This window comes from Homo sapiens, chromosome 6 (genome assembly GCF_000001405.40).
Source record: "Homo sapiens chromosome 6, GRCh38.p14 Primary Assembly".
NCBI classification, from domain to species: domain Eukaryota; kingdom Metazoa; phylum Chordata; class Mammalia; order Primates; family Hominidae; genus Homo; species Homo sapiens.
The window spans coordinates 40790276-40793072 of record NC_000006.12 but is presented as its reverse complement, the minus strand read 5'-3'; the positions used below and the strand labels follow the sequence as shown (position 1 = coordinate 40793072).

At 44.7% G+C, this 2797-nt stretch overlaps 1 annotated feature.

Moving 5' to 3' along the window:
• Positions 1271-2470: an enhancer, noted in NCBI's record as "CDK7 strongly-dependent group 2 enhancer chr6:40758342-40759541 (GRCh37/hg19 assembly coordinates)". NCBI's record gives its function as "activates an origin of replication core promoter dependent on BRD2, BRD4, P300/CBP, MED14 and CDK7 cofactors, with strong dependence on CDK7, by STARR-seq in HCT116 cells {active_cell/tissue: HCT116}" and the evidence as "EXISTENCE:reporter gene assay evidence [ECO:0000049][PMID:35650434]".

Here is a 2797-nt window from a genome sequence, read left to right as displayed (position 1 = left end):
ATGTGCACTATGAACCTGGTGTGTTCCATGTATGTCACACCATGAACCCCGTGGAACTGTAGAGATGTTTCCCTATCTATCCCAAATGGACAGGAAACACCTTAAGAGTAGGGCCATTTGGGGTTTATTCTATAGCTTCAATGCTTCATAAGCCTTCAGCGATTAAGCAAAGGAATGATGGATCCCTTAGAAACCATTCACATCCATCTCTTCGATTTTTATTTTTCCCCTTGCTTTGTGAATGAGTAAATAGGGTCCCAGGTGTCAAATGAAGACTCAATGTCCTCAGCAGCCAACTGGGAGAAAAAGCAGGATTTTTATATTCATACTGAGTCAGACCCATCATCAAGTTACTGTGAAAAGTGAAAACACACTTGGAGACACACCTGAACATGGATGTACTTCCTGAAATTAAAAGGAAAATGAACAAGACATGCATTTTGGAGAACATGCATTTTGGAGAACTCATATCATTATCCCATTTATTGAAAAAGAAACTGGGGCTCAAGTAGTTGGTATGATTTACCCAAGATCACATTGAGTGCATAGAAGACCTGGGATCAAACCTAGATCATCTGCCTCCAAACTCAGAGCACGCAACTTGCTCTCCTGCCTTTTAGGCAATCTCTAGCAGGATATTCTGTGTGGGGCATTGCGGTAGAACTGTGAGAGTTTCAGAGAACTGTGACACATGAGCCCTACAGTCTAGTAGTACTGATATGAAGGAGGGAAGCCAAATGTCTGTATTATGTTAGTTTCCTACTGGTGCAGTCACCACAAACTTGGTGACTTCAAAGAGCACAGTTTATTACCTGACAGCTCTAGAAGGTAGATGTCTGAAATTCAGGTGTCTGCTGGTTTTGTTCCTTCTGGAGTCTCTGAAAGAAACTGGCTTTCTTTGGCTTTTCAAGTTTCTAGAGGAAGATTATGCTGTGGCTCCTGGACTCTTCTTCACAACTCTGACCTCTGCTTCCATCATCACGTCTCCTTCTCCAATGGATCCTCCTGCCTCATTCTTATAAAGATGCTTGTGATCACATTGGGCCACTCAGACAATCCAGGATCATCTCCCCATCTCAAGACCCTTAATTTAATCACATCTGCAAAGTCTCTTTGCAGGTCCTAAGGATCAGGATGTGGGCATCTTTGGGGGGCATTATTTAGCTGACCACACAAATCTATTGGTGTCAAACCTCAGCACCGAGTAGGCAGTTCAAGGCCGTATCTTATTTTGTCCTTACATCCACCATGTGAGATAGTTATGATGACGATGAGCTCATTTTAAAGATGAGAAACTGATGGGTAAGTGACATGCTTAGGGTCCTATGTAGTTAGTGGCAGAATCAGGTTTCTCAGATGCCAGGGCCTGTACTTTTAGGAATCAGAATAGATGAGTTGGTCTTGAGAAGGGATAGCTGTCAGTAGGGAGGATAATCCTGTCCTGTAAGGCGGGGCTGGATGGTGTGAGACCTGGATGACAAGCCAAGCCACTGGGACATTTAGGACAACCCATTCTGGACACAGAAAATGAAGTGACTATAAGTGGTTTGGTTTTGGGGAGATAACTCAGCTGAGGGCCACTGTGAGTGAGGGACACGGCTTGGAGACCAGGTGGCAGATGCTGGTTTTCTGCTTGTCTCTGCCCTGCTCTACCTGGCCCCACAGGCTGAGACTTCCCAAGGATGAAAACCTGAAGGGCAGAACTCATGCTGAGTCACAGCATCCTGAGACATGCCTGCTTGACACTACTTTGCAAGATTAAACGCCCCAGCAGTAGGCTTCTATCAGCTTCCTGCTTGGTTACCAGCAGTGACATCTTAGATGAATTGGCTCTGTGACCTGGGAGCCGGCTGGGTGTGAGGAAGATAGGAGGGAGTGGCTCTCTTAAGCTGCAAAAGGAAAATTCTTAGCATCTGTTGCATTTTACAGGCCACTGCAGACTCCTTCCCCTCTGGGATGAAAGGAGACCGACCAGGCTGGGACAATCTGCAGGACTGAATCATCATCACCACTTGGTGCCCCTGGTGGTGTGCACCGAATCCCTCTTTGTTGAGAAATCCCAAATCAGACTCTCAGATCCACACCCAAGGACCCTCCTGGAACCGCCTAGACCTGTTTCTGTATTAGCAAAAGGGCCTCCTCATAACAGTACCTCCCTCACTGCTGTTGTGGAGGGTAAATGGGATAGGGCACAAAAGGCCTGGAAGGTGGAAGTGTTGGGTAATCAGTGTCCTTGCTCTTGGGGAGTTCTTCCAAACTTACCCTTGACCCTCTTTGGTAATATCAGTTTCTTCTTGCCTCCATCCTCTCTCCCTTTCTCCTTTCCTTGCTTTCTTCCTTCAGTCTTTCTTTTTTCAGGAAAATTGAAAACATCCAGTTAGTAAATTTTACCCCAAGATTACTCAGGAACTTGAAGCTTCGTACCCAGCCTTGTCTTTTACATATTTTAGGTTGAGTATCCCTAATCTGAAAATCTGAAATGCTCCAAAATTCTAAATTTTTGGAGCATTGACATGATGCTCAAAGAAAATACTCAGTAGAGCATTTTTAATTTCAGATTGTCAGATTACAGACACTCACTGGTAAGTATAATGCAAATATTCCAACATCTGAAAAAATCTGAAATGTGAAACGCTGCTATCCCAAGCATTTTGGAAAAGGAATACTCAACCTGTAGGAGATGTAACCTCTTTCATCTGACCCTAGATACATATTGGACTCATCCATGCTCTTTCATGCCCTCCAAAGGCATGATGTCCCTAAGTGGACACAGAACATCAAGGGACCCAAGGGCACG